The sequence below is a fragment of the Homo sapiens genome, chromosome 19 (genome assembly GCF_000001405.40).
Source record: "Homo sapiens chromosome 19, GRCh38.p14 Primary Assembly".
In the NCBI taxonomy this organism is placed as follows: domain Eukaryota; kingdom Metazoa; phylum Chordata; class Mammalia; order Primates; family Hominidae; genus Homo; species Homo sapiens.
The window spans coordinates 40068469-40092248 of NC_000019.10; the positions used below are offsets into that span (position 1 = coordinate 40068469).

At 38.5% G+C, this 23780-nt stretch overlaps 1 protein-coding gene across 11 annotated transcripts, besides 2 other annotated features; it reads right to left on the reverse strand.

Annotated features, from left to right (window-relative positions):
• Nucleotides 1-683: 683 nt before the first annotated feature.
• ZNF780A (zinc finger protein 780A) lies at nucleotides 684-22475 on the reverse strand. 11 transcript variants are annotated; one of them, NM_001142579.2, is made up of 9 exons: nucleotides 22438-22475; nucleotides 21698-21767; nucleotides 20792-20946; nucleotides 16277-16330; nucleotides 14643-14769; nucleotides 13351-13446; nucleotides 7668-7741; nucleotides 4369-4511; nucleotides 684-4181 (listed from the first exon to the last, which is right to left on the reverse strand). In NM_001142579.2, the coding sequence occupies exons 3-8, from the start codon at nucleotides 20792-20794 to the stop codon at nucleotides 4389-4391; spliced, it is 477 nt and encodes a 158-aa protein (NP_001136051.1). In that variant the 5' UTR covers nucleotides 20795-20946; nucleotides 21698-21767; nucleotides 22438-22475; the 3' UTR covers nucleotides 684-4181; nucleotides 4369-4388. The 11 variants fall into 11 exon arrangements, with proteins under 11 accessions (NP_001136051.1, NP_001136050.1, NP_001136049.1 ...); NM_001142578.2 differs by lacking the exons at nucleotides 684-4181; nucleotides 4369-4511; nucleotides 20792-20946 and having other exon boundaries at nucleotides 4577-7741; NM_001142577.2 differs by lacking the exons at nucleotides 684-4181; nucleotides 4369-4511; nucleotides 20792-20946 and having other exon boundaries at nucleotides 4577-7741; nucleotides 13351-13449.
• Nucleotides 22208-22749: an enhancer, noted in NCBI's record as "H3K27ac hESC enhancer chr19:40596583-40597124 (GRCh37/hg19 assembly coordinates)". NCBI's record gives its function as "activates a minimal SCP1, AML or CMV promoter by ChIP-STARR-seq in primed H9 embryonic stem cells {active_cell/tissue: H9 hESC(primed)}" and the evidence as "EXISTENCE:reporter gene assay evidence [ECO:0000049][PMID:30033119]".
• Nucleotides 22297-22626: a silencer, noted in NCBI's record as "fragment chr19:40596672-40597001 (GRCh37/hg19 assembly coordinates)". NCBI's record gives its function as "represses an EF-1alpha promoter that drives an FKBP-Casp9 reporter gene in an ReSE screen in phorbol 12-myristate 13-acetate-treated (for megakaryocytic differentiation) K562 erythroleukemia cells {active_cell/tissue: K562(+PMA)}" and the evidence as "EXISTENCE:reporter gene assay evidence [ECO:0000049][PMID:32094911]".

The following is a 23780-nucleotide window of genomic DNA, read 5'->3' on the forward strand; positions in this document are numbered from 1 at the left end:
CAGGCAGGCCCTAGCAGGAGATAAACTTCTCAGCTATCACCATACATAAAACCTTATAATTCAATAAAATATCAAATGCAAACAAGAGCAGATCATAGAAATGTAAGTTGAGAAAAATCAGAGTGAACTTCTGACCTTACAATGACATTTTCTACTCTGAAACTATTAAAAGAATTCTAACAAAACCAGCATCTTCTTCCATACCTGTAACTGCCATGTGCACCCATAGCAGCCAGATTTCTTGGTCTCAAAGGCTCTTTTCCTCTAAATAGAACCAGGACACCCTACGAGGGTACTGAATCATGGGTTGATTCCATGACTCAGGACAAGAGGCATGGGGAACATGGACCAACAAAGAAGGATCAGTCTAAAACATCTTCTTAGGACCTGAACACAATATTCATTTAAAAAAAAAGAAAAAAAGAAGTCAAAAAAACAAATGTAACTGGACTCCTACTGGCTACACATCAAATTATCATAATTACTACAGATGCTTCTCAACTTATGACAGCGTTATATCCAAATAAACCCATCACAAATTGAAAACATCATATGCCAAATGTGTATTTATGACCTACAATATTTTCAACTTAACATAGCCCCATCTTAGTTTGAGGAGCATACTCTGACTGAGTATGTCTTAGTCCATTTTGTATTGCTACAAAAGAATATCTGAGGCTGGGTGATTAATAAAGAGGTTTATTTGGCTCACTGTTCTGCAGAATGTACAAGAATCATGGTGCAGCATCTGCTTCTGCTAAGGGTCTCAGGCTGCTTCCACTCATGGCAGATGATGAAGGGAGAGCCAGTGTATGCAGACATCACATGGCAAGAGAGAAAACAAGAGGGTGAGGGAGGAGGTGCCAGGTTCTTTTGAACAACCAGCTCTCACAAAAATTAACAGAGCGATAGCTCACTCACCCCTCAATCCAGAGAGGGCATTAATTTATTCATGAGGGATCTTCCACCATGACCCAAACACCTTCCATTAGGCCCCACCTCCAACACTGAGATCAAACTTCAACATGAGATTTGGAGGGACAAATATCCAAACTATAGCAACATATCACTTTTGTACCATCATAAAGCTGAGAAATTGTTAGTTGACATTGTTGGGGACCATCTCTATAATAGTTCATTGGAACAAGTCTGTTAAAAATCATGTTCATACTGATACACAAAACATGTAATTATCATACATCTAGTATCATGTCACACTCAAAAGATAAATGGTTATAAATTTTACAAAAGGAGGCTGCAGTTAGGAATGTTTAATTTACTGTTTGTTGATAGTAGGTGAGAAAGAACTGTTCATATGCCTTTTTTCCACCAACTTGATGTTTGTTTAGAAGGTATAGTTACCTATTTGTATTGATCTGTAAAAGCAAGATGGAACAAATACAGAAAAGTTTGAGTAAGCCAGACACTTTTGGAAGGGGCAGTGTACTAGAAATGGGAAAAATGTATCCATATTAACGGCTACTCGTAACTCCTATGAATCAGGTAAAAGGAGGGCCAAATAAAAATCAGTGCTAGGGAGTGAAGGTCAGACTCACAAACCAAATAAATGAAATATTCAATACATTTCACAATAAGAAAATACCCCAATGTCCTAATGAAAAAGAATAAAAACACATACTCGATCCTCTTCTCCTAGGAGATGAAATATATTGTTTTAAAAATGAGTTACTCCAATAAGATATGAATAAGCAATATATAAATATATAATAAACATAACAGACCAGTTAGATATATAATAGACAACAGATTAAATACTGCTGACTAAGCACAACTTAAGGGGATTATATAATTAAATGTATCCAAAAAAACCATTATTGAATTGACCTGTCACTTTCTAATACATCTTTGTTACTAAAAATTTAAGCAACTTAGTAACCATGACTCTGGGTCATCTGATATCATAATGTGGTTCAAGGTCCACCAATCTTCTGTTTCTTTGATTGTATTTCCTTGTTTCAGGACAGGTAAAAATGTTAATATCATAATAAAGACCAAACTGTCCAATTACCAAAACTGTGAAGCAGCAACAATGTCAAAGAATTACAAATAAAAGGAATAAGAATTTTTTGAAAAGCAACTAAAATTGAGAAAATTCTTTTTATAAGTGAATTCAGTATGTTCACTGAGCTTGTAAGCAAGGAAATAGTCTATGGATGCCTTCTCTGCTTTTAAAAGTAGTAGGTGATTTTTAAATTTTTACATAATTGGTTTGTAACTTTAGCAAATATTTTAAAGTGTTTTATTATGTTTGCAAAGGGACTGTGACTTCCAACTTAGAAATCCCAAGATTGCATGATGATAGAGTTTCACTGGAAGGCCTCCTGGGATCTCTTTTTTATGACAATTCTTAATGAGATACCAGAATGTGCAATGACCCATAAAGGAGTTGTGCTGGGTTAATACCCAGGGAATCTGTTGAGTTCAAAAAAGAAAGTCAAAGAGAATCAATATGAAAAAGATGAAAGTGGAAATAAAAAATAGGAACATGAGACTAGAAAGCCAGGTTTTAAATAGCCTCGTTTTGTAAGATTTATAAGATCACTGCATTAACAAAACCTGAAAAATGTTTAGAAAATTATAACTTTACCTATGATTATAGATACAATTAAATGTTAAGAAATAGAATTAAGTAGTCTATCAAAAGCATAATAATCTGATAAGGATATATTCACAAAAAGAAGAAAGCTATCAATATAAATTATCATTTTATAGATTTTTAAATGCACTGGAATAAAATCACAAAGGATTATTATTGATCTTTAAAAAAGTTAATCTCTCTAATTCATGATGCCACAATGGTATCATGTTTTATAGCTTGATTTAAAGGCTTAATTTTTTTCAAAGTTTATCAACAGCTCACATACCAGCCATGATGTATAGGTGCTGATGATAAATGCTGAACAAAAACAAGGTTCCAGACAAAATAATCTTGGCTCCCTGAATAAACTAGAGGGTGCTAATTTTGTACTGAATATACTGTCAGCCTTATCACACAAGTTGACTTATGTTGACAACCTTAATGGCATTCATTTTTGAATAGTCTATTTCAATTTTCATTTTGTATTCAATCCACAGCTAAAATACACATGATTATAAATATTCAGAGGTCAAAGTCTCTCCATAGATTATTTATGCACTACAAATTAGATCTTTACAATGGACTTATGGCGGTTACCAGCTTACCCAAATGATCAAACTTAGTTTCACTAATGCAAGGACCTGTACTTAAATGTTTTCTGACAGTGAAATATGCCATACAAATAGCCTACAAAGTATTCTTCCCCAAAATGTTTAATCTGACCTAACAGAGCCTCTGGACTCAAATTCCCTTGTACAGAATATGCAACAAAGAGAACAACACTAAATGACACTATAAAGAAAGAAATCTAAACACATAGACAATTTTCCTGGGCTAATCAAAATTCAATCTCATTTTTTAAGAATGAGGAGATGGACCAGGCCTTTTCAAAACTATCAAGCAGATAGTCAGGGCCTGTGAAGTGTGCCAAAGAAATAATCCCCTGCACTGCAGGCCATACATTTCAATCTCTGTATCTTTAACCTCCTTGTTAAGTTTGTCTTTTCCAGAATCGAAGCTGTAAAGCCACAACTCATTCTTCAAATGGAGCCCCAGATGCAGTCCATGACTAAAATCTACCGCGGACCCCTGGACCGGCCTGCTAGCCCATGCTCCAATGTTAATGACATCGAAGGCACCCCTCCAGAGGAAATCTCAACTGCACAACCCCTACTACACCCCAATTCAGCAGGAAGCAATTAGAGCAGTTGTTGGCCAACCTCCCCAACAGCACTTGGGTTTTCCTGTTGAGAGGGGGTACTGAGAAACAGGACTAGCAGGATTTCCTAGGCCGATTAAGAATCCCTAAGCCTAGATGGGAAGTTGACCACATCCACCTTTAAACACGGGGCTTGCAACTCAGCTCACACCCGACCCATCAGGTAAGAAAGAGAGCCCGCTAAAATGCTAATTAGGCAAAAACAGGAGGTAAAGAAATAGCCAATCATCTATTGCCTGAGAGCACAGCGGGAGGGACAATGATCAGGATATAAACCCAGGCATTCGAGCCGGCAACGACTACCCTCTTTGGGTCCCCTCCCTTTGTATGGGAGCTCTGTTTTCACTCTATTAAATCTTGCAACTGCAAAAAAAAAAAAAAAAAGAAGAATGAGGAGAAAGGAGAAATGTTCTAGGTCAGTGGCTCTCTAACTCTGGTTGGTATCACAATCACCTGGAGAAATAATAAAAAACATAGAGGCCCAGAATTATAAGCTAGGGCTTAAGCCTCTGTAGCTTTACTAAGTGCCACTGTTGATTCTAATACCTACCAAAATTTGAGCGCCTACATTCATAGGATTTCCAGGCTACAATACACTAAAGAGAGATAACCAAATGCAATGCAGATTCTGCAATGGATTCTCCTTTGAATATGAATAGCTGTAAAAGATGGTTTGGAAGCCAATGAAGAAATCTGAAAATGGAATGATATTACAGAATTATGAATACTTTCCTTAACGGTAATTATGGTACAATGGCTATATGATATTGTCTATATTGTCTTCATGTTTGGTTGATACACACGTTGATTAAATAAAGGGTAAAGTGTCATGATGTCTAAAACTTATTCTCAATGGTACAACAAATATACAAAAAATAAACGTGCAAATTGTTAACAATTTTGAATCTAGGTTGGGGTATATGATTGTATATTTGACTATTCTTTCAAAACCCACAACAAGTATCAACTAGGTTTACCATCTTTTATGGGCAGAATTTGTGGTATCCCAAAGCAATTACAATAGCAACATCAAAAATCACTGGTCATTGATCACCATGATAGATATATAACAATGAAATAGTTTGAAATATTCTGAGAATTACCAAAATGTGACATAAAGACATGAAATGCACACCTGACGTTGGGAAAATGGACCTGATCGTCTTGCTCACCACAGGGTTGCCACAAACCTTCAGTTTGTATAAAACACAATAACTGCAATGCACAATTCAGCGAGGTATGCCTGTATCTGGTAAATTATTTCATAGGGAGTACATTGTGAACATGACAACTACCCTATATTCCTCATTCAAAGACTTTCTCACAAGAATTATCTTCTCCGAACTCTAAGGTATTTAGTGTGGCTATAAAACGCCCCACATTCCTTACACTCAAAGATTTCTCAGAAGTATGAATACTCAGAAGTTGAGCAAATCCCAGGCCATGATGAAAGTTCTTCACACATTCTTTTATGTTCACAAGATTTCTCATCAATATGAGCTCTCTGGTGTTGAGTAAATTTTTCGTACACAGTGAAGGCTTGTCCACACTCCTTATTGTCACAAAATTTCTAACTATTCTGAATTTTCTGATGTTGAGACAGCTGATCATCCACAGCAAATGCTTTCCCATATTCCTTACATTATAGCGTTTCTCACCAGTATGAATTTTAACATGTTGAACAATGTTTGAGCTACAACTAAAGGTCTTCCCACATTCTGTACATTCACAGGGTTTCATACCAGTATGAATTCTTTGATGTGCAGTCAGGACCAAACTAAATCTGAAAGTTTTCCCACACTCCTTACATTCATAGAGTTTCTCACCAGTATGAATACTCTGATGTTGAACAAGGTTTGAGCCACTATTGAAGGCCTTCCCACATTTCTCAAATTCAAATGGCTTCTCGCCAGTATGAATGACCTGAAGTCCAGCAAGCTGTGTCAGAAAACTGAAGGCCTTTCCACATTCTTTACATTCAAAGGGTTTTTTACCAGTGTGAATTTGGTAATGTTAAATAAGTGGTAATGATATCTAAAGGTCGTCCTCCACTCCTTGCATACAAAGAGTTTCTCACTGGAATGAATTTTCTGATGCTGAATAACGTTTGAACCACAAATGAAGCCTTTCCCACACCCCTTACATTCACATGGTTTTACACCAGCACGAATACTCTGATGTTGAACATGGTTTGAGACACGATTAAAGGACTTTCCACATTCCTTACATTCAAGATGCCTTCTCACCTGTGTGAATGTTCTTATGGCGATTAAGCTGGGTGGGAAGACTAAAAACCTTTCCACATTCCTTACATTCAAAGGGTTTCTCACCAGTATGCAATTTCTGATGTCGAATAAGTTGCATATGAAGTCGAAAGGCTTTCCCACACTCCTTACATTCAAAGGGTTTCTCACCAGTATGCAATTTCTGATGTCGAATAAGGTGCATATGAAGTCGAAAGGCTTTCCCACATTCCTTACATTCAAAGGGTTTCTTTCCAGTATGAATACTTCGATGTTGATTAAGATTTGAACCACGACGAAAGAATTTCCCACATTCCTTACATTCAAATGGTTTTTCACCTGTGTGAGTTTTCTGATGTTGGGAAAGTTGTAGGTAAAGTCTAAAAGCCTTCCCACACTCCTTACATTCATAGGGCTTCTCACCAGTGTGAATACTCTGATGTTGAACAAGGCTTGAGCCACGATTGAAGGCCTTCCCACAGTCTTGACATTCAAATGGCTTGTCACCAGTATGAATTCGAGAATGTTCAATAAGTTGGCAATGATATCTAAAGGCCATCTCACATTCCCTACATACAAAAGGTTTCTCATTGGAATGAATTTTCTGATGCTGAATAAGGTGTGCACCACGATTAAAGCCTTTCCCACACTCCTTACATTCATATGGTTTTATACCAGCATGAATACTCTGATGTTGAACAAGGTTTGAGCTACGATTAAAGGACTTCCCACATTCCTTACATTCAAACGGTTTTTCACCTGTGTGAATGTTCTTATGGCGATTAAGCTGGTTGAGAAGACTAAAGGCCTTCCCACATTCCCTGCATTCAAAGGGTTTCTCACCAGTATGAATCTTCTGATGTCGAACAAGCTTTGTCAGAAGAGTAAACGCCTTTCCACATTCTTTACATTCAAAGGGTTTCTCACCAGTATGAATTTGGCAATGTTCAATAAGTTGGTAATGATATCGAAAGGCCATCCCACATTCCTTACATACAAAGGGTTTCTCATTGGAATGAATTTTCTGATGCTGAATAAGGTGTGCACCACGATTAAAGCCTTTCCCACACTCCTTACATTCATATGGTTTTACACCAGAATGAATACTCTGATGTTGAACAAGGTTTGAGCTACGATTAAAGGACTTCCCACATTCCTTACATTCAAACAGTTTCTCACCTGTGTGAATGTTCTTATGGCGATTAAGCAGGGTAAGAAGACTAAAGGCCTTTCCACATTCGTTACATTCAAAAGGTTTCTCACCAGTATGAAATTTCTGATGTCGAGTAAATTGTATGTGAAGTCGAAAGGCTTTCCCACACTCCTTACATTCAAAGGGTTTCTCTCCAGTATGAATACTCTGATGCTGAATAAGATTTGCACTACGACTAAAGTATTTCCCACATTCCTTACATTCATACGGTTTATGTGTATTGCAAATAAGAGAAGCATGAGGAGTATGAGTAGGCAGTTTTTCATAGCTGATCATCTTTTGATTGATATTTCCTTCTTGATATCCCTGTAGTCCCTCAAATTGTCTATATTCTGAGTCATTTCTAAAATAAAAGGCCTCAATGCCAAGAGTTGTACTTATTTGCTTTATAACCTGTTTGGGTAAATTTACTTCAGAGGTATCATTTTCTGGAGATACTTTCTCAGGTCCATATTTTAACTCCAAATCTGAAAGAAATGAAGAAAGCAAACCTATTTTATTTTCGTATAACACACATGCATACAAAGTCCTTTTGTCAACTGAAACCATCAATTCAAACCAATAAAACCTTTATTGATTTTATTAGCCAAAACCAACAAAGTTGGTAGATAGAACCTTTCTCATATCACTTCTGTTTCCAGTGGAAGCAAATGCACATCTGAGCCAGCCTGGTTATGTACATGTAAAAATAGGAAAATGAACCACAGAAGATTGAACCTAACTAGGTCAACTATCTGTTGAAACATATTGATATGTTCTATAGGACTTAAGACCATGAGACCCATAGTTTCATAGTCAGTAATTAGAATGTCCAGGATACAATCCAAATATACTGGCATATACAAGAAAATTTCAACTCACATTGGAAAAGAAAATCAACAGCAGCATTCTGCCAGGGGCCTGGGGATCACCCCACCCCTGCTTACCACAAGAACCAGCACGTACAACTGGGGGGCCTAAGGTCAGGTCCAGCAGACCCAGCTCTGTGCCCAAGTCCCCAAGCACACCATCTGGGGACCTGGGGATCACCCTGATCCATCTACCACCTTTGCTACCTAAGCACTCATCACAGAGGCCTAAGGTCAGACACATACAACCTGCTGTTTCCTCCACAACTGGTACCCACCTGTACTCACAACCGGAAGTTCTGGGGACTGGCCCACCCAGCCCATCATAGTCACCTCCAACACTAAGCACTTACTGCTTGGGAGCCAGAAGGTTGTCCTGTTCACTACTACTACCATCACCCATGCCACACTTGCTGCCCAAGAATCCAAGAACCCATCCACCTACCCAGCATACCACTACCACTGCCAGCACTATCCAAACTACGAGGAGGCCAAAGAATCAACGTGCCTAGACACACTAATACTAGTACCAGCATACACTATGCTGGGGCCCCAAAACAGGCACATCTGGACTGCCACTGCCACCACCAGAGCCCAAGGACTTGCCTACCTTGTGTCCTCGTGCTAGGCCATTCTTGCATTAAAGGAATACCTGAGACTGGGTAATTTACGAAAAAATGAGTATTAACTGGCTCATGGTTCTGCAGGTTGTACATGGCGCTAGCATCTTCTCAGCTTCTGGGGAGGCTTTAGGGGCCTTTTACTCATAAAAGAAGGCAACACAGGACAAAGAATGTCACACAGCAAGAGAAGGAACAAGAGAGAGAACAAGAAGAAGTGCCATATACTTTTAAACAACCAGGTCTTGCAAGAACTCACTTACTATTGTGAGGACAGCACCAAGGGGATGGTGCTAAGCCATTCATGAGAAATCCACCCCTATGATCCAATTACCTCCCACCAGGCCCCATCTCCAACACTGGGGATTACATTTCAACATGAGATTTAGAGGGGAAAATATCTAAACTATATCACTCCTCATCCCCAATAAAACTTCACCATACCCTCCACTAACCATCACAACCAAAGCCAAGGAAGAAATCACAGACACCAAAGGCACTGTTTACAGCCAAAAAAAAAATCATAACACTACATAACAACACTACTGCACACGCCCAGAATCAAAGCGAAAATGCCCTATCCAACCCTATTAACCATAGGTACATCTTTAGGAAAAAAGCCTCCCCTACAAAAGCAAATTCAAAAAAATGAGAATAAACACAGGAAATAACAAAAAAAAAAAAAAGAGAAGGAAACTTGACATCTCCACAGGAACATAATAATTCTCCAGAAACATTCCAATGGGAGAAAAATGCTATATCCTAGCAAAAGAATTCAAAATAATTATATTAAAGAAGCTAAGTGAGATACAAGAGAATTCGGAAGAACAATACAAACAAATCAGAAAAAAAAAACTCAGGATAAGAAGAAGAAACTTACCAATTTCATTATAAAAAAGAACCAAACAGAAATTCTGAAACTGAATAATTCATTGAATAAAATATAAAATACATTCAAAATCTTCAACAACAGACTAGATCAAGTAGAAGAATCTCAGAACATAAAGCCAATTCTTTTGAAATAACCCAGTCAGACAAAAATAGAAAAACAAAAAAAGAAGAAGAAACAAAGACCCTATATGGGACATCATAAAACAACCAAATATTTGAAATTTTGAGGTCCCAGAGATGAAGAGAAAAAATAAAGGAAAGAAAATCTATTTAATGAAATAACAGCTGGCAACTTTCCAATTCTAGCAAGAGATGTAGACATCCAGATACAGGAAGCTCAGAGATACCCAAATACATAACAACACAAAAAGGTCTTCTCCATGGCACATTATGGTCAAAATATAAAAGTCAAAGACAAAGAGAGAATACTAAAAACAGGAAGAGAAAAGCATCTAGTCACTTACAAGGGAACTCTCATTAGCCGAACAGCAGATTTCTCAACAGAAAGAAATGAGAGAGAATGAAATGGTATATTCAAAATGTTGAAAGAAAAAACTTGCCAGTCAAGGATACTATCCTCAGCAAATTATAAAACATAAATGAAGAAGAAATAATCTTTCCCAGGCAAAAGCTGAGGGCAGACCAGCTCTACAAGATATGCTTAAGAGTCCTACACCTAGAAGTGAAAGAATATCTGCCATTGTGAAAACACACAAAATTATAAAACCCACTGACACAGCAAACACAAATAAGCAGAAAGAACCCAAATGTTACCCCTATAGAAAACAACCAAACCACAATGATGAAAAATAAAAGAGAAAGAAAGGAACAAAGGATACACAAATCAACTAGAAATCAATTAATAAAATGACAAGAATAAGCCCTCACATATCAGTAATCACATTGAACGTAAATGGATTAAACTTTTCATCTAAAAGATATAGATGGAATGGATTTTTTAAAAAGTGACCCAATTATATGCTGCCAACAGACTCATCTCACTGGTAAAGACATATATGGATTGAAAGTAAAGGAATGGTAAAAGATATTCCATGCAAATGGAAACCAAAAGTGAGCAGGAATAGCTATATTTATATCAGACAAAAAAGATTTTAAGTCAAAAGCAGCAAAAAAGAGACAAAGAAGATCACTGTATAATGATAAAGGGATCAATTCAGCAAGCGGATATAACAATTCTAAACATACTATAATCCCAACACCAGAACACCCAGATATATAAGGTGAATATTATTAGATCAAAAGGGAGAGAGATGTATTCCAGTGCAATAATCATTGGGGATTTCAACACCCCACTCTGAATTACACAGATCATCTAGATAGAAAATTAACAAGAAACATTGGATTTAAACTTCACATTAGACAAAACAGGCCTAACAGACATTTACTGAACATTTCATCAAATAGCTACAAAATACACATTTTCTCATTAGCACACAGAACATTCTCTAGGATAGACCATATGTTAGGATGCAATTCTTAACAAATTCTTCAAAACCAAAATTATATCAAGTCTTTTCTCAGACATGGAATAGAATGAGAAATCAGTAACAAGAGGAACTTTGGAAACTGTACAACACATGAAAATTAAACAACCTGCTCCTATATAACCACTGGGTCAAGAAAGAACATAAGGAGGAAATTAAAAAATTTCTTGAAACAAATGAAAATCAGAATACAACATACCAAAACCTATGGGATACAGCAAAAGTACTGCTAAGAGCAAAGTTGATGGCAATAAACACCTACATTGAAAAAGCAGAAAGATTTCAAATAAACGATCTAATGAAATTAGGGCAGAACTAAATAAAATACAGGCTAAATAATACAAAAGATCAATGAAATGAAAGGTTGTTTTTTAAAAAACATAAATAAAATTAATAAACCACTAGCTAGACTAACCAAGAAGAAAAGAGAAGAAATAAGCAAAATCAGAAATAAAAAAAGGAGATATTACCACTGACACCACAGAAACAGAAAAGATCATCAAAATAGAAAAGCTGAACAGGCCAATGAGTAATGAGATTGAATTAGTAATAAAATGTCACCCAAAAAAGAAAACTCCAGGACTGATGGCTTCACTGCTGAATTCTATCTACCAAACTCTCAAAGAACTAATTCTCCTCAAACTATTCCAAAAAATTTCAGAGAAGGGAATTCTCCTTAACTCTTTCTATGGAGCTGGCATACCATGAAACCAAAACCAGACAAGGAAGAAACAAAAAAAGAAAATAGTTCTAGCCTAAAGTCACATGAATGCCTATGTTTATTGTAGCACTATTCATAATAGCAAAGACATGGAATCAACCTAAATGTCCATCAATGGTTACCTGGATAAAGAAAATGTGGTACATATACACCAAGGAATACTATGCAACCATAAAAAAGAACAAGATTATGTGCAGCAATATGGATGGCATTGGATGCCATTATCCTAAGCAAATTAATTAAGGAACAGAAAACCAAATACTACATATTCTCACTTATAAATGGGAGCTAAACACCGAGTACACATGGACACAAAGAACAGAAAAACAGACATCAGGGCCTACTTGAGAGTAGAGGGTGGGAGGACGAAGATCCAAAAACTACCTATTGGGTACTATGCTTATTACCGGGGTGGTGAAATAATCTGCACACCAAACCCACCACAACATGCAATTTACCCATATAAAAAACCCACTTATGTACCCCTTGGACCTAAAATAAAAGTTGGAAAATAAATTAAAAATAAATAAATAAATGGTGCTGGAAAACTGGATATCCGTATGTGATAGAATGAAACCAGACCCCTATTTCTCACCGTATACAAAAATCAACTGGAAATGGATTAAAGACTTAAATGTAAGACTCAAAACTATAAAACAACTAAAAGAAAACATAAAGGAAGTGCTTCAGGACATTGACCTAGGCAAAAATTTTCTGGTTAACACTGCAAAAGCATAGGCGGCAAAAACAAAAATAGACAAATGGGACTATATTAAACTAAACGCTTCTGCAGAGCAAAGGAAACTATCATCGGAGGGAATAGACAAAATTAAATGAGAGAAATTATTTGCAAACTATTTCTCTGACAAGAGACTCAAATAACAGGAAAAAAAAAAAAAATCCAATTAAAAAGTTGGCAAATGGGCTGGGCACGATGGCTCACACCTGTAATCCCAGGGCTTTGGGAGGCCGAGGCGGGCAGATCATCTGAGGTCAGGAGTTCAGGAACAACCTGGCCAACATGGTGAAACCCCATCTCTACTAAAAATACAAAAATTAGCCAGGTGTGGAGGTGGGCACCCGTCATCCCAGCTACTTGAGAAGCTGAGGCATGAGAATTGCTTGAACCCAACAGACAGAGGTTGCAGTGAGCCAAGATCAGATTACTGCACTCCACACTGCAGGACAGAGCAAGATTCCACCTTAAAAAAAAAAAAAAAGTTTACCCTGGGAAAAAAAGAGGGAACTTACTCCACTAAAAGGGGAAGGAAATAAGAGAACAGAAATTAGGTGATTAGTAAATGATGAAGTTCCTTGGTGATGGCTTCTGCTGTAATCTTTATTTCCTTCCCAGGTCTTGGGCATTTTTATCCAACAGGACTTGGGTCACTGAAGAAAGCTTTTCAAACCACATCTCAAGTGTATGACTCCTTTCTGAGCACATGTCCAGGACAATGATGGCTTCCCCCCGCCTGCTTTACCCTCACTTACCTGGATACCGTCTGCTTGTTTCTTTCCTTACAACCATCCAGGGCTCTTTCTCTTGCTCTAGTAACGTAATTACATCTGGTTTAGAAATGGAACTTCCTGCTTAAAAGAAACGACACATGTAGAATTTTTTTAATACAGATTTTTTTTTTTCAAATCTTTGTGACCTGCTTAAACTTACAATAAATTACAAGTCAAAACAATATTGAAAAGAGACTTCAGATAAGAGTGAGAGGTTGAGTAAGAGAACTCTTTTCTAACTATGTTAGAAAAGGACTTCCTTTCATTTAAACTCAGAATCTTATCCCTTGAAAAGAGGTATAACTGAATGGTTGAGAGCAGGAAACTTCAATCCAGACTGCCAGGTTCAAATCCTATCTCTGCTACTCACTAGCAGTATGACCTCAGGTAAGTCACTTAAACTCTGTCCTTCAGTTTTCCCAACTCTAAAATGGGGATGATACAATACCTATTTTATAGGATTGATACTAAGACAAAATAAGTTATATATATGCAAAATACTTCTAACATTGCCTGATGTACAGTAGCACAAAGTCAAGAATTATTGTTTATTATTGTCATTTATTTTGCATCCTTAGACATTTATAGCTCACTCAGTATATTCACTAAATGAAAATACATAAACTCCATGGTCTGAAACTTTCAACTGCAAAACAATGGAATGTTTATTGAAGGAAATGAAATGCATTCCCTTTAGTGTTAAATGAATTTCTGTCAACCCAATCAGTATACGTAAATAACAGACATTTTTGTTTGTTTGTTTTTGGTTTTGAGACAGGGTCTCGGTCTATTGCCCAGGCTGGAGTGCAGTGATGGGTACAGCTCACTGCAGCCTCAACCTCCCAGTGATCATAGAGGTTTCTCTGATAGAAAAATTCAAGACACTCTTCTCCTTACAGATGGGTTAGAAAAACAAAAACAAACCAACAAACAGAAAATCTACAGTAATTCTGAGATCAAACATAATATGAAATCTGGTTCTTAGACAATATCTTTCAATGAATGTACAAGATTTCAAATTCAGCCCCATGGTCATGAAGAGAGAGGCAATTACAGAGAGGACCAGCGTAACGAAGGAGGCCATTGTGGAGTAGGCAAGATGCAGGGGCTCCAGGGAGGTGCCTGTTTTCAACCCAACAAATCCCAATCCATTCCTTTGGGAACAAGAAGAAGGAATTCAGCCACCTCTTAAAAGATAGCCCTGAAATTCACGGTGAAGAAAGCTGATATTCCAGAAAATAGATATAAAAATAGCTGGGACTCAACGACCTTACCCAGTGAGATCAGGTGGCTGTAGTTCTCCAACATCACATCCCTGTACAAGGTCCTCTGATCAGGCTGCAGGCACTCCCACTCCTCCTGAGAGAAGTCAATGGCCACATCCCTGAATGTCACTGATCCCTGAAACCACAAACACATGTATAATGGTGAAACTGAAGAAAGTTGTTTTAAGATGAAAGGAGAGGAAGTGAAGGAGTGTAGTGTAAGAAAAAAGCAATATGGAAATTCACAGAGTGCCTGCACATTCTTCAAGAAGTCTCCTGCTGGCTGAGTATGGTGGCTTATGCCTATAGTCCCAGCACTTTGGGAGGCAGAGATAGGAGGATTGCTTGAGCCTAGAAATTTGAGACCAGCCTGGGCAACATAATGATATCCCATCTCTGCAAAAATTAAATAAGTAACTGTGTGTGGTATCACGTACCTGTAGTCCCAGCTACTCGGGAGGCTGAGGTAGGAGTATTGCTTGAGCCCAGGAGTTCAAGGCTATAGTGAACTGTGATCACGCCACTGCACTCCAGCCTGGGCCACAGAGCAAGACTCTGTCTCAGAGAAAAAAAAAAAAAAAAAAAAAGGTGGCATACAATTAAAGAATGTTCTTAATCCTCAAGTTCATTATGGTATGAGATGACAGCAAAAGTATTTTTTCTTGTCATGACAACTGATTTTTATAAGCTGCATTAAAGTCAATAGAACTCACATATTAGATTTATTCATTTTTTTTCTATTTATACGTTGAGGATGGCCAGGGCCTCTAAGGATTTCCCCAATTCTGAGAATTTTTTATTTTTTATTTTTTTTCTGAGACAGAATTTCACTCTGTTACCCAGGCTGGAGTGCAGTGGCACGATCGCAGCTCACTGCAACCTCCACCTCCCAGGTTCAAGCGATTCTCCTGCCTCAGCCTCCTGTGCAGCTGGGATTACAGGTGCGCACCACCACAACAGGCTAATTTTTTTTTTTCTTTTTTTAGAAGAGATGGGGTTTCACCATGTTGGCCAGGCTGGTCTCAAACTCCTGACCTCAAGTGATCCACCACCCACCTCGGCCTCCCAAAGTGCTGGGATTGCACGCGTGAGCCACCATGTCCAGCCAGAGAATCTGTAATCACCTATCATTCATGCCCTGAATTATCTTCTCCCTGCTACTGCCCACTGTCCTCACCTATCATTTTCCTAAAAGCCTCATAAAGCAGATCACCTTGTCACACTTGCAGACTGAGGCTACTCACTATGGAATTCTACCTTAGCTACCTGGAAAGCTCTAGTCTGTAAAGTTTCAAAGTGTTCCCAAGTGTGGTCAATCATCTGTAACTTATCAAACCCATAAGACCCTGTTTCCCTGTGGGGACTGATTCCTCCACTGTTCCAATATTCTTCCTGACCAAGGTCTGAGCACAGAGCACAGACTGAATAACTTTTTCAAAGAAAACATCAAAGCCAGTAGGAAACAGAGGTACAAATAGGAAGAGCAGTGACTTTTTTTTTTTTTGTCACCAACCTTCACTGTAATGGGACAAACTGGGGTGTAAGATCGTGAATTCTAGGTACGAAGCTTCAGGTTAAATAATAACAGTCACCTAACCTGAAAGTCACCATATTTCAAGGAAAAGAGAGAAATACAAACTTACATGGACCATGTTGCTAGAATTACAAAACTGGTCAATCTTCCTCGGGCTTCTCCCCTGGAAAACAACAACAACAAAAAGGCCACAATTAAAGCTGTGTCTCAAAAGCAAATAACTATTTTATCCTCCGTTCCTATTTCTCAACTACTCCTGCTAACACGCACACTTCCACCCTTCTCCCATCACTCCCCTTGCCCCCACACACACTCTCTCACAAATAGCTGGCAGTGAACGGGTGGAGTAGGGATGAAACCAAGCTCTCGCCTGCATCCCAGGGAACCTGCGGCAGAAGCATGAATGCCGAGCACAGGCATTTCTGCCTTGAAGTTGTGGCTTCCAGCCAGTCCTCCATTCTTGGGATACCTATCTTGGCCTAGGTCTGGACCTCTGATCCTGCCCTTAGCAGATCCTCCTCCCCCAGTCCCACCTTTCAGAGCTGAGAAGGGATTGCATCATCCAAACCAGAACCTCTTTGTGAAATCAGGATTGGGTGCAGTGGGGGAAGGCATGAGAACTGGAAAGCATATTTGCACTGGCAGTGTTTGCACCAAATTGCACTGACAGTGTTCAGCATTCTAAATTCAGCAAAAGCCAGTTGGTTAATACAGTTCAGAACATCCACTTAATAGAATACAAAGTAAATATTAAACGTTCAAGATATATGATTAACAGAAAAATCAGGTTACAAAACAGGATAGATAATATGATTACATTTGTAAAATATATGTATATAGAAATACTAATAAAAAGACTAACAGACATTAATAGAAAAAAATTTAGAAAATTATATACATGTTAAGAGTTCTCCTCTGTGTATTGTAGCTCCAATTTTCTTCTTTTTGCTTAAGAGCATTTCATGGCCGGGCACGGTGGCTCACACTTGTAATCCCAGCACTTTGGGAGGCTGAGGCAGGCAGATCACGAGGTCAGGAGATCGAGACCAACCTGGCCAACATGGTGATACCTCGTCTCTACTAAAAATACAAAAATTAGCTGGGTGTGGTGGTGCATGCCTATAATCCCAGCTACTCAGGAGGCTGAGGCATGAGAATCGCTTGAACCCAGGAGGCGGAGGTTGCAGTAAGCTGAGATCGTGCCACTGCACTCCAGCCTGGCAACAGAGCGAGCCTTCATATAAAAAAAAATTGTAACTACATCCAAGCATTAACTTGGAATATATATAGTTATATTCACACACACACACACGTGTGTGTATATATATATGTGTGTGTGTATATATATATTTATATATATATATGTGTGTGTGTGTGTGTATGCATCTCTATATATGGACATATATAAATGTACATACACATTTCTTTCCTATGAGGAAACTTCTCCAAATTAGATGAAAGACACTTTTTATTTAGATATCTCCCTTTGAACTTGGGGTGGGAAATCAGCATACTCTAATGAACTGTTGTTTTTACTTAACAAGTTTGTTTCCTTTATTTTCCAATTCTTGACCAACACTAAGATGTCTATGTTTTTCTATGTATGTTGGAGCAATCTCTAGAAAAAATTGTCTACAAGTCCCCAACCAATGTCTTGTATGCATTAATGATAGTCTATTTCTACTTTTGAAGTAAAAAATAAAAACAGAGTTATCAGGAAAAAAACCTGAGCCTGTCACGAGATTCAACAAAAGAGGTTAAAGTGACTACAACAAATAACATCAGCTAGTTCTAATATCCTTTAGCTGTATCTCACCAATATAATTAGATATTCTCATTATCAAGATTCTTCTTTGAATGAACACAATGCAGATAAGTGGCATTTGCAAACTATGTGAGAAAATTTGTGAAATATACACCACCATGCTTGGTTCCCTTCTTCACCAAATAACCAATTAAAATATTATTTTAGATATAATTCTTATAGAATGCCTTCAGATAGAATTCTTATAGAATTCTTATACAAAAACCCTATCTTAGTATATGGGATTCATATAAAACATAACAATTTCTTTTTGGGGGGCAGGGGTGGAGTCTCACTCTGTCACCCAGGCTGGAGTGCTGTGGCCTGATCTCGGCTCACTGCAACCTCAGCCTCCCAGGTTCAAACAATTCTCCTGCCTCAGCCTCCTGAGTAGCTGGGATTATAGGCGCCTGCCACCACTCCCGGCTAGTTTTTATATTTTTAGTAGAGACAAGGTTTCACCACGTTGGCAAGGCTGGTCTCAAACTCCTGACCTCAAATGATCTGCCTGCCTCAGCCTCCTAAAGTGCTGGGATTTCAGGTGTGAGCCACCGCGCCCCGCCCCATGTAACATTTTCTTGAGTATTATTGTTCATAGCATGAATATTGCTTAATGATATATCAAATATTTTTCTTTTCATAATTCCTTATAGACATCATTTTATTACCTGTGTAATACTCTATCACTTGAGTCTAGTATGATTAGCTTAATGATTTCTGTATTATAGGACACTTATTTTATACAAGATCATTTACAATGTCATTCCAGATATCACAATCTTTTGATTCTGGACTACAGTTTTTCACCCTAGGCACTACTGACATATTGTGCTGGATAATTCTTAGATGGGAGAGTGGGGAGAGCTATCCTGTGCATAACACAATGTTTAGCAGCATTCCTGACCTCTATCCATTAGATCTAAGTAGCACCCTCCCCGACAGCATGACAACCGAAAGTTTCTAAACATCACCCCAGCTGAGAACCAATGTTCTATCTAGATCAATGGATCCAAACCTCATGGGTCACATAAATTTTTTTGATAATCTTATGAAATGATACACTATTTCTCCCCCTAAAACCCACATTTATAAATTTCTATAATACTTCAATATTTTATTTCAAGAGCTTTTGGTCCCTGAGACCATAAATGGAGTCACAGGAACTCAGGTTAAGAATTTCTGTCCTACATTCCTTACAGAAACAGGAAAAAAACAAAAATGCTAAAATTTGTATAGAACCACAAAAGACCCAAATAGCCAAAGCAATCTTGAGCAAAAGGAACAAAGTTGGACTCATCAAAACTATCTGACTTCAAGATATACTACAAAGCTATAGTAACCAAAACAACAAGGTACTGACATAAAAACAGACACATAGACCAAAGAAACAGAATAGAGAGGCCCAGAATAAATCCATATATTTATAACCAACCGAGTTTTGAGGAGGGTACCAAGAACATACAATGGGGAAAAGAGAGACTCTTCAAAAAATACTGTTGTGAAAAGTAGGTATCCATATGCAGAAAAATGAAATTAGACCCTTATCTCAAACCATTATACAAACATCAACTCTAAACAGATTAAAGACTTAAATGTAAGATCCTAAACTATGAAACAAATAGAAGAAAACATAGGGGGAAAGCTCTGTGAAACTGATCTGAGCAATGATTTTTTTTGGGATATGACCTCAAAAGCACAGGTAACAAAAGCAAAAATGAACGAATGAAATTATGTCAAGCTAAAAAGCTTCTGCACAGAAAAGGAAACAATCAACAAAGTGAAGAGACATCTTGTAGAATGAGAGAAAATATTTGCAACCATATATATGATAAGAGATTAAGATCCAAAATGTATGCAGAAGTCAAACAACTCAACAGCAAAAAAAAACCTGATTAAAAGATGGGCAAAGGACCTGAACAGGCACATCCCAAAAGAAGACATATAAATGGCCAACAGTTTATGAAAAAATACTCAACATCACTAATCATCAGGGAAATGAAAATTAAACCCGCAATAAGATATTAGCTCATACCTGTTAGGGTGGCTACTGGAAAGACAAATGTTAACAAGTATTGGCAAGAAAAGGGGAACGCTTACACACTGTGGGTGAGAATGTAAATGGGCACAGCCATTATGGAAAACAGTATGGAGGTTCCTCAAAAAATTAGAAATAGAACTACCATATGATCCAGCCATCCCACTACTGGGAATATATCTCCAAAGGAAATGAAATCTGTATGTCAAAGAGATATCAGCATACCCATGTTTATTGCAGCATTATTCACAATAGCCAAGATATGGCATCAACCTACGCGTCTAACAATGAATAAATGGATAAAGAAAATGTGGTATATATGCAGGTATATTTACACAAGGGAATACTATTTAGCCATAAAAAGCAGGAAATTCTGTCATTTGCAAAAACATGGATGAACCTGGAGAACATCATATTAAGTGAAGTAAGCCAAGCACAGAAAGACATATGATCTCACTCTTCAGCCAAATCTAAAAAAGTTGATATCATAGAAGTGGAGAGTAGAATCGTATTTACAGATCTGGGGTAATGTGGGTGAGGGAGGAAGGAGGGCAGTGTTGACTGGGGAAATGTTGGTCAAAGGATACAAAATTTCAGGAAGATAAGAGAAATAAGTTCAGGAGATCTATTACACAACAGGGTATCTCCAATTAATAACAATATTCTGTAGTCTTGAAAAATGCTAGGAGGGTGGATATTAAGTGTTCTCACCACAAAAATGATAACTATGTGAGGTAATGCATTGTTAATTAGCTAGATTTAGTCATTCCACAATGTATACATACCATAAAACTTCATGTTGCACATGATAAATACATACAATTATATCTGTCGATTTAAAAAGAAAGAATTTCTGTCCTAGATCATTTGAGCCCCTCACTCATTTTCTTAATATACAACCAGCAGTCGCAATGAATCACATATTCCCAATGCTCCTGTTCTGTAGAGAGTCAAGGGGAATGACTTAAAATGACTACACAAAAAACAACAGTTAAAACATATTAAACATTATTATATGCCTAGCACTGCTCTAAGGGGCTTTACGATATTAATTCATTCTAATGACAGAACCAATATTCCAACCCAGATACTCTGGATCCACTCCCCTATTCTTAACCACAACAGTGTACTGCCTCTCACAGTACACACACACACACACACACACACACTCACACACACACGCCTAAAACACAACTGGAGCTGCCAAACCTCAGAGAGATCTGGCAAGTATTACAAATATCATCTCATGGACTCCCTGGAAAAATCCTGGCTCTTGTTGATACCAATTTCTGTGCGGTCACTTTTCCACTACCGAATGCCTCACAGGCAATGGAGATCATCCAACCATCTCCATTCTTCCCTGTTTTGAAAAGGAGGTCTGTAAAGACCAACTGATGTCTAGTGTGTGATTCCACCTAAACACTAATCTCCTCCTTCCCAAATATGGGTCTAAAATGGAGCTTTAATATTAACTACTGGAGGTGTATTTCTATACCAGCTTCGAAAAAGAGAGCGCACAGGAAGGTGTGAACGATTTGCCAAATTGTTTTGTGACTATTAAGTGGAAAGGTGAAGGAGGGGGCACGAATCAATTTGCATATCCCCCTAGTTTCACTGAAAATTTAAGGGGAAATCTCAATATTCTAAAATCAAAAACGCATGTCTTGAACAAATACAAAGCACAAACTCACCCTTGACTTTAGGTGTGCAGCAGTAACGCTCTCATCCTCCTCCAGGTCCTTCTTTTGGATAAAAATACGACTGGAGAAGGATACGGCAAGCGTGAGACTCCAGGCATTTCTTGGAGCGCAGACTAAGTTTGAAAACACCCTCCCTCCATAGCCACAATTTCCCTCACTTCACACGAAATAGGAAGGAAGTAAAAGGAAGAGGAATCGATTCAACCAGTACAACCAGTTTGGAGCTGGTTTCTGGGGACAGAGCTCTGAGGACGCTGTGGTTCTCAACATGTAGCTGCCCCCCTGGGGAACACTCGGGGGCACTTCTGCGCTTTCTTGTGTAAAGCTTCATTCTCGGCTCAATATCTGACCTCCCTACTGGGGCCATTCCTCTGCTGCAGTCCCCGCAGCTGTGAAGCGGAAAGAGGGAGGAAGCAGCAGGAGCCTAGGGGCACCGGCACAGTGTCACTCAGCAAAGTGCGCTGCGTCCACACGCCCTCCCGGGCCTGTGCATAGAACCTCACGCACACACTCACAGTCCCCTCCGTCACTCATGATCTCACAATCCCCCTCCTCTGATACCCGCGCACACACACGCCTGGGGATCCGGCAGATCCCGTCTGCACCCCCGGGTTCCTACTCTGAGCGCCTCCCCCTAGGCCACCCGCACTGTCGGGTCAGTCAGGCTGGAGCCCCAATCCGCAGAGATCTCCCGCAGCCACAGATCTCTTCCTCAGACGTGAAGACCTTACCCCGCTATGTCGTCGACCCCGGAGACCGGAAGTGGACTGGCGCGGTGGCCGCTGGGAAATACAGTCCCGAACAGAAAAAGCCTCAGAAGCCTTGAGCTGTGATCCGTTCAGGTTGATCCCAGCATACTATGGGGGCTGACCCCTAAGGGAGCCGAGCCTAGTGGATTCGTGGGAGTTCCAGCCCGCGGGGTGCACAGGTTGTTGCCATGAGCAAGGATCCCCATGTGAGAAGAGCGTTTCCCTCTCGGAGCGTCAGTATAATTTACTTTTTCTCTCCATGGAGAATGCAAATGAGCAGAACTTTTAAAGAAGAAAGAAGAATTTAAAGTAAAATTATGTCAACATGTAGGTGCTTTAACTCCTTTGTCTCAGACCCCAGCGATAGGCTTCCACTTCTCTGTGCTATTTGAAGGGGACTTAGGATAAATTTGAAAAGCTTGAACTAAAGAATTGGTTGGTTATATACTAGGAGAGGAAGTGTGGTTCACATTGGAGATTTCAGAATCAAATGTCCTGGATTCTTCGAGACAATGTTCCTGTTATCTGGAGAGAAAAACGTGATTCAGGACGACATGGAAACGGATAAAAATACACAGATAATTACTTGCCTTATCTTGAAGGATGAATAATTAACACTTTGTTAAAATAGTATAAACAAATGCAAAAAAGGGCTTGCTTTTCCTAGGAAGAGCCTGATTTCACTGTTGTAGTCTAACAATATTTAACTTTCAAAATCATTTTTCTAGTTTCCTATGCTACATAAGGAGGAAACATGTAATAATAAAGAGCAAAACGTCTTTTCATTCCAGAATTGTGACAGAAAACAAATAAGATGATTAACTCAACCATATCAATAATCACATTAAATGTAAATGGTCTAAACACCTTAATTTAAAAAGATTGTCAGATTGGATTTTTTAAAAAGTCAGACCCAAATGTGCATCAATGATAGACTGGATTAAGAAAATGTGGCACATATACACCATGGAATACTATGCAGCCATAAAAAGGATGAGTTCATGTCGTTTGTAGGGACATGGATGAAGCTGGAAACCATCATTCTGAGCAAACTATCGCAAGGACAGAAAACCAAACACCAAATGTTCTCAGTCATAGGTGAGAATTGAACAATGAGAACACTTGGACACAGGGTGGAGAACATCACACACCGGGGCCTATAGTGGGGTCGGGGGAGGGGGAAGGGATAGCATTAGAAGATATACCTAATGTAAATGACGAGTTAATGGGTGCAGCACACCAACATGGCACATGTATACATATGTAACAAACCTGCACTTTGTGCACATGTACCCTAGAACTTAAAGTATAATAAAAAAAGATAA

What these genes read in the sequence shown, in the direction of transcription:
- ZNF780A (XM_006723150.5), bottom strand. An exon ending in CAGCCACCTGATCTCACTGG is followed by an intron (nt 13,450 to 14,642) that starts GTAAGGTCGTTG and finishes GTTTCTTTTAAG; the next exon opens with CAGGAAGTTCCATTTCTAAA. An exon ending in AACAAGCAGACGGTATCCAG is followed by an intron (nt 7,742 to 13,350) that starts GTAAGTGAGGGT and finishes CATTTCTTTCAG; the next exon opens with ATTTGGAGTTAAAATATGGA.